The 8,159-nt window shown below is 46.4% G+C and overlaps 1 long non-coding RNA gene across 1 annotated transcript in view; it reads left to right on the plus strand.

Annotated features, from left to right (window-relative positions):
- Positions 1-7,364, plus strand: part of LOC105370982 (uncharacterized) — a 171,228-nt gene extending 163,864 nt beyond the window's left edge. The window contains exon 7 of the long non-coding RNA XR_007064770.1: positions 6,043-7,364. This is a non-coding gene — a long non-coding RNA (uncharacterized LOC105370982). The remainder of the gene's footprint in view (positions 1-6,042) is intronic.
- The last annotated feature ends 795 nt before the right edge of the window (positions 7,365-8,159 follow it).

The raw sequence follows: 8,159 nt of genomic DNA on the forward strand, positions 1-8,159 counted from the left end.
CCAGATTTGCAAACTTCAGGTCCCTATCAAATATGCCATAGGAAGTCTTTGGCTCATTTCCTTAACAGAAAAATGGGAGGGTTAAATTCTATGACCTGAGGTCCCTTTGAATGCTGTGTCTGTGGATTCAAGGGCCAATCCAAAAGTGAGATCTGAAGGTGAGATTCAGTCTTGTACCTGAGGAGGCAGGTTTGACCACCACTGGGCTCCAAGGACCTCATGTCTGAGAATTCCCTGGTGATACTGACTCAATGTCTCCATTCATGTGTTGCAGGAGACCAAGATGAGATAGAAATAAAAAGAGAGATAAGAATAAAATCTAATAAAATCTAATGCCTGGGTCCAAAAAACCATTTACCCAAATGCCAAATTGGAAGGACCCAACAATGTGATAGAGAACACATTCAAATGAGCACACTGCGGGATGGGACTGCCTCGGGCCAGGCAGTGTTTGCAGATACAGGTGCTCAAAGCAGGGGTGGGAGAGTTCTCTGTTATATTCTGCTCATGCCACACCCAGTGCCTTGGCGGGTGGGACGCAGGGTAGCAAATTCCTTAAAGAGGGCCAAGGATGGCCAAAGCCCTTTGAGATGGGAGAAAACACCTATGAGTGAAAGACATGGCTGATGTATCAAAGAAAGGTCACATACATTGGGATCCCATTTCACCAACAAACCAATTCTACAGAGGGAGGGGCCACAGGAAGATGGTCTAAGGAAGGGATTTGTAATGATCAGAGCTGTCTAGAAGTGAAGGACCTATCGTTGGTCAGTAAAGCATTCCTTATTATTGGACATGAACCAAAACCATCTTGGGGACCATTTGGTAGAGCTGTGGTAGTAGGTTTTGGAACATCAGATGAGATGCTGGATGGGATAGTTTTATATTTCCTATCAACTCGGAGATGGCAGGGATTCTAGCTCTGGTATTTCAATGCCTTCTCCCCTTTCTGGACTGCCTGCCCCTCTGTAGTTTTTGTGGGATGGTTTTGGCCAGATCCTTTTGAAGGACCTGAGGTTCATTCAGAAGAGTCACTGAGGGTAATCTGTGTTGGGATGTGATGCTCCAGAGATTGGGGCAAAATATGTGCCTGAAAGAGCCGGAATTAGTGTCATCTAAGGGCTAAGCTCAAGTCCTGGGAGCAAGGTGTGGCCCTTCATAGGAGAAGGGGACAAAAGGTCGGAAGCCATAAAGGAGGAGCCAGGAAGAAAATGGAATATAAAGTGGGTAAAAATGAATGACTTGGGAAAGTGGAGAAAGGGAGGGGGTGACACACACACACACACACACACACACACACACACGAAAGAGAGAGAGAGAGAGAGAGAGAGAGAGAGAGAGAGAGAGATGGGCTCTGAACAGAGCCTCTCCCCAGCAGTGGGGGCAGCCCATAGCTACTCTGTTCTTGGGCAGTGGTCTCTGGACAGCAGAATGCACGTGGATGTTGGAGTTGCCAGATCTAACCCATCGGGAGTGTGGGCCAGTTTGGAAGGTTTCCTGTCTTGCTTAGGGAGGTCACTCGAGGAAAGTCCAGAGTATTTCTAGATAATCTAGTGGTGAATTTGAGAGGATAACAGAAGGACCAGGGAGTTCAGTTAGAAAGACAAGACTGTGGGCCGGTCCCATTTTCCATAAGAGCAAATCTTCCCAGGGAGCTTAAGGACCTCCCCCTGCCGGGTGCTGGGCTGAGCGTCTCCTGCACTTTGACACGTTAGTGGTAGCAACAACTTTGTGTGATGGCAGCTGTTTATTGTTTTAATTTTACAATTGATGAAAATGATCGTTAAAGCCATTCAGTTGCTAAGTGGCTAAGTTGGCCGTCAAGCCTGGATGGGCCCTACCTTGAGGCTGGTGCCTCACCACTCCTCGGGCCTGAGGTGCTCAGGCCACAGGTTGTTAATGTTGGAAAAGACACCAGAGATTCTCTCCCGCAACCTGTTCTTTTTTTTTTTTTTTTTTTGAGACAGAGTCTCGCTCTGTCGCCCAGGCTGGAGTGCAGAGGCGCGATCTCGGCTCACTGCAAGCTCCGCCTCCCGGGTTCACACCATTCTCCTGCCTCAGCCTCCCGAGTAGCTGGGACTACAGGCACCCGCCACGACGCCTGGCTAATCTTTTGTAGTTTTAGTAGAGACGGGTTTGACCGTGCTAGCCAGGATGGTCTCGATCTCCTGACTTCGTGATCCACCCGCCTCGGCCTCCCAAAGTGCTGGGATTACAGGCATGAGCCACCGTGCCCGGCCCGCAACCTGTTCTTTTTACGAAGGAGAGAACCGTGGCCTACAGAGGGGAGGACGTGGCTTTTCTCAAAGTTTTATGTTTGGAACAAGCTTCCGAGCTGGGGTTGGAAAGCCGGGAATCCTGCCCTGGGTCTCCGGCTCTTTGTCTTGTTTTGGTGCTGAGGGAGCCTGGCTTCTTGCCCTGGTTCCATCACTGACAGCTGAGCAAACCTCAGGCTCTCCTTTTCCTTGATGGTAAATTAAAGTCCTCCAGCTTGACTCACTCCTGGGCTCAGGTGGTGTTATTATCAGGATTAATTACATGGCTAGAGAGAGGGCTGAGCCTTTCCTGGGGAAACAAGGCCACTTAAAAGACACTATTATGTTTTAACTGCCCTGATACATTTGTAACCAAGACTTCTTAGAATGATATTAAAATATAAATAGAGAAAGGATCCAAAATTTAAACTGCAATTTTTCCTGCCATTTCCTGGTCAGCATAAGGAATATTGAGTTTTCTATCTAAGTGCCCATATAAGATATGAAATACCTGGGTAACGGGAGCAATTTGCTGCTTAAATTGGAACCTTGCAAATCAATTATCAGGAACTAGAGCATGCATTTTCTCCTAAGCCAAAAAAAATTATTCTTCAAAATGACATTTGGCTGCTCACTGCATGTCATAATCAAACGAGGAGTGAGGTCTAATGCAGTAGCTCCACATCTAGGTGAAAAGGGAAAAAGAAATTATCCCCAAAACTGCAAATCTTCTAAGATACGTGATCCTATATTTTCAAGACTGAAGCAAGCCTTAGGAATTTAAAGAGTTTAAGAAAGTAAAATTTGATTCAAATTCACTTCTTTACCGAAACTTGCAAAGCAAAAATCCCCAGTTTCTCTGGGTGGCATTTTATTGCCTGGCTATAGGTCTAGACAGGCCTAGAGCCAGGGGTGCAGGGTGTGGGTGGGGGAAGGGCAGTATTTCATAGTATAGCAGTGGAAAAGGAGCTTAGAGGTTCTTTGGTATGGCGATTCTCAATCCTGGCTGCTCAGTGGAATTGCCTGGGATGCTTTTAAAAACCATGGCTAGGGCTGGGCATGGTGGCTCATGCCTATAATCCCCAGCACTTTTGGGGGGACTGAGGCAGGCGGATCACCTGAGGTCGAGAGTTCGAGGCCAGCCTGACCAACATGGAGAAACTCCGTCTCTACTAAAAACACACAAATTAGCCAGGCGTGGTGGTGCATGCCTGTAATCCCCGCTACTCGGGAGGCTGAGGGGGGAGAATCATTTGAACCCAGGAGGCAGAGGTTGTGGTGAGCCGAGATCACACCATTGCACTCCAGCTTGGGCAATAAGACTGAAATTCCGTCTCAAAAAAACAAACAAAAAACCATGGCTGGCCAGGTGCAGTGGTTCACACCTGTAATCCCAGCATTTTGGGACACCGAGGCAGGCAGATTGCTTGAGCCCAGGGGTCTGAGTCCAGCCTGGGCAACATGGTGAAACCCCATCTCTACAAAAACTACAGATATTAGCCAGGTGTGGTGGTGCACGCCTGTAGTCCCAGCTACTTGGGAGGCTGAGGTGGGAGGATCAATTAAGCTCAGGAGGCAGAGGTTGCACTGAGCCAAGATCCCACCAGCGCACTCCAGCCTGGGCAACAGAGCGAGACTCTCAAAACAACAACAACAAAACCGTGGCTAGCTGGGTTCTACCCCTAGAGATTCTGATTCAATTGATCCAGGTTGTTGGAGCTCAGCTACTGTGTTACTTAAAAGATTTCCCAGGTGACTGTAATGTGCAGCCAGGGTTGAACCTAAGCTTCTCACAGGAGTGCTGTGAGAATTAAGTGAGATAAATGAAGAAAGCACACCCAGAGCAGTACCTGGAACCCAGGTGCTTAAGCATGGTGGCTTCCCTCCGGCCTCTGGGTTCCTCCATCTCTCCCTGCCCCACCGTCTCCACACCTTCTACCTCCCTCCACCCCATCATTGCCATTCCCTGCCCACCGTCACCCCACCCCTGTTCCTGATGAGTTAATATAAGCAAAATCCTTTTCAAATCCCATCTAAGTGCCTGTTGTTATGATCGTGTGTGTGCGTGCACTTGTACATGTGTGTGCGTGTGCACGGGCATGGCGGGTTCCATCCTCTCTTCAGAGGCAGGCAATTGGGTGGGAGGAGTGGATCTATGACTTCTGGCAGAGTGTAGGGAGCTTTCCATTTGCTCACGAGGGTTCCTCCTTGGAGCATTCATTGTCATTGTAATTCAGGTGTGCAGACTGCCAGTTCAGACTGTCCTAGGCTGGAGACAGGTGGCTGAGTCAAGGGAAGCATTGCGTGTTCCGGTGGCCTGGGGGCTCCCCTTGGGGGTGAAAAAGGGAGGGCGATTCCAGGTCTGCAAGAAGTGGTGGGCAGCCCAGAGCATCCTGTTTGTTGGAGTCAGGGCAGAGCAGGCTTACAGTCAGCTGGCCCCCAAGTGCTTTCTCTTGCAACCCTGAAGCCCTTGTGTCTTGCAGCTACTGCATATTTAGGTGTACAGGGGTGAAGAGGCGCACATTGGAGTGTTCTTTTCCAGCATGCATTTGGGCTCCTTCATTTGTGAGAGGACCACAAAGGAAGCCCACCTGAGCCAGAGTTTGAGAAAGTCCGTTTCATCATGGCTGACCTTAAGAAGCGGAAGTAGAGTACACAAGTGCTCAGGGTCATTATCATATGCATCATCTTAAACATTTATCTTTCTGTGTGTGTGTGTTGAGGTCATTTAATATCCTCCTTCTAGCTATTTGAAACCATATATCATTGGTAACTATAGTCATCTTACAGTGATATAGAACATTAGAACTTATTCCTCCTATTTAGTTGTAATTGTGTATCCCTTATATGTATAATCTATACAATTATATGTATAGAAACATCACAATGCACTCCACAAATATGCACAATTACTCATCCATTTAACAAATAATTTTATTCTTACCAAAAGAAGCAGCAGAAGTGTGCAAAGCAAATATTTGCCCCTTCATGGATTGTTTCAAATCCTTTGGCAGATTGGATGTGGGTTATTGTTAGGGCTGTAATGAGGAATCAGTGTCTCAGCTGGCAGCAGCAGGGATCCGAGGAGACCTTAATCTACCTCTTCAAACCCCTGAAGAACTTCCCTAAGCATCTGGCTGACCTCAGACCAGCACTCCAATGCCCTTCTCTTCAGGAACCAGTGGAAGGACCCTTCTTGGAATTGCTAATTTCTCTCCTTCATTATAACTCATGCTATACATATTTATTTGGTGGTTTGCTTGTCTTTATTGTTAAGGAGTGGCTTTAGCTGTACCTTTATTTTTTTTTTTTGAAATTGAGGAAGATTTGAGAAACCAAGTAACCTTGGAAGTCTGCTGGAATGAGCTTAACTTTTTATTTAAGATGAGCTTTAATTGACCATAGAAGTGAAAAGTTCTTACCAAAGACGGATATTGGAAAGACATACATCAATGCTTTTATTTCCTTATTACTATTTGTATTAGAATTAAACTCTTTCAAATGAAGAGTCTGGGTGTAAAAGAAAAATTATGGGCCACTTCTGAGATTAACACCCCTAATATGGTACCTCTAGACATAGTGAGAGCTTTTCATCAATATTTTGCCAGTATAAGTCTGCTGCCCTCCGGGATGAAATTGCCCAGGCTGGGAGAGTAATTTGATCTCGGAGTGACTTTAATCAATGTGCTTCTGTTAAGCAAATATTTCCAATTTTTCAGCAGTTTGTTTGCTGTGTAAATTTCCTTTCTCTGCCAATATGCTGAGCTGGCACCATTAATTTCCACAGGTGGGACAAGGCTGTTGGCTTCCCTGGGTTACTTTTCAGCATGCTGGGAGCTGGAAGGATAGAATTTCACGAGCCATTGCAGCCAGCTGCCGAGCACCTGGGGCAACGTTTGCAGCAACCCAGGGACCACCCTCTAACACCAAGTGCCCCCCACGTTGCTGAGGAAGGTCCAGTTGTCTGAGGTTTACTTTGGACACATTTTTAATCATCGTGGTTGGCACAGACAGGAAGGCTGAGCCAGAACGAAATATCTGGGAGCCACAGATATTCCAGCTGGGGTGAAACTTTCTGGAGTGACCTCCGCCAAAGACTACTGGTGGCAGCTGCAATGACCCACACTCTGCTCCTAAAGCAGTACCTTAGGAGAGAGAAGATTAAGAGATTCCATGCCCTGTGTCTCTTTCTGGGTCACTCAAAGGGATGTGAGGTGTTCTTTCAAGTTACAGCAACTGAATGCATAAAAATTGCTCAAGGGGAAGCATCTTCTTAATGCGTTTTTGTCCACTCTCCCTTTAGCCCTCAGCAGACAGAAAAATCCCTTTTAAATGTATTTCTAAACTTATGTTGTAAGGAGGCAAATGAGAAGCAAAGCTGAAATTCCAGAGGGAACAGAACACAAAAGCGCTTGTGCACGTGTACCCTCACCTTGCACACCTACACCCCAGAGGCCAGCCTGGCCCAATGGGCTCTGTTTATTCAGTGTTGTCTTTTCCTGATAATTCTGCTGATGACAGGGAAGCAACCCTTCTTCTTCTTCAGTCTGCAATATTTCACCCTCCAATTACTCTTTCAAATTTTGTTTTCAAGTCTCTGCCCAAATGCTGGACTTAGGGAGCCCAAGGCTCTCATTTTTGTATTTCTCTTATGACACTTGACATTGGCTGCCTTGTCCCACTGCCTACGCGAGCTCTTTTGAAGACAAGGACTCTTATTGGAGCTGAGTCCTGACTCCCCACTCAGTGTCAGGCATGTGGAGGCAAAGTGCTTCCTCTGTGGCTCTGGGTAAGAGCTCTGACCATGCTGGGCTCCAGCAGGTTGGCCCTGCAGCTGGTTTGTGTGTAAGCTGATGGCTGATTGGGCACCGTCAATGTGCAAGCCACATTTCTAATCAACTTCTATAGAAAACACTGGAGACAGAAGGGCATAATAGCTATAATATATCTTGGTCTTTTGACGAGAAGGAATCGCCAATACGTGGGGTGAGAATTTTTCCTTCATGACGAATGACGGCAACCTCTTCTGAGTGCCGTCTCTGTGCCAAGTATGGTGTTCAGTGCTTTCAAGAATGTTCTCTGGCTGGGTGTGGTGGCTCATGCCTGTAATCCCAGCACTTTGGGAGGCTGAGGTGGGCGGATCAGGAGATCAACACCATCCTGGCTAACACGGTGAAACCCTGTCTCTATTAAAAATACAAAAAAAAAAAAAAAATTAGCCGGCCGTGGTGGCGGGCGCCTGTAGTCCCAGCTACTCGGGAGGCTGAGGCAGGAGAATGGCATGAACCCGGGAGGTGGAGCTTGCAGAGAGCCGAGATTGCACCACTGCACTCCAGCCTGGGCAACAGAGTGACACTCCCTCTCAAAAAAAAAAAAAAAAAAAAAAAAGTTCTCTGATTTGATTTTTGCAACAAATGGAAAGAGACACACTTCCATGATGAGCAAACAGTTTAGAGATACATTTCTAAAGCTAGACCCAGAATTGGTGAAGTCAAGGCTACCTAGCTTCAAGGCCCTTGCTATCCTGGGTTCTAATCCTAAAACTTTTCTTTGTCCAAAATTTGGGTCCCAAGTTATGTGAAAGCTTGAGATAAAGACCAAAGTTTCATTGCTGGTCTGATAATTTTTCATATGTAAGATCTGGTTTAGAGTTTTGTGCCTAGATTGGAGTGCATTCCAACCTGGTTTCCTGGTTATCTTTTTAACTCTGGCCTACAGTGAATTAAACCTTCCACCAACTAAGTTAAGACCAAGTGTGCTGAGACTGTCATTTCTGTTGGACATACCAATAAGTATTCAGAGGTTGTTTTTTATGATAGGCAATGGAGAAAAATAACTTTCTATTTTTCATAAGCTGATGTTTTCCCTGGTAAGAGTTCTTTCATGATTTTGCTGCTATAGAAG

Source organism: Homo sapiens, chromosome 15 (assembly GCF_000001405.40).
Source record: "Homo sapiens chromosome 15, GRCh38.p14 Primary Assembly".
Lineage (NCBI taxonomy): Eukaryota > Metazoa > Chordata > Mammalia > Primates > Hominidae > Homo > Homo sapiens.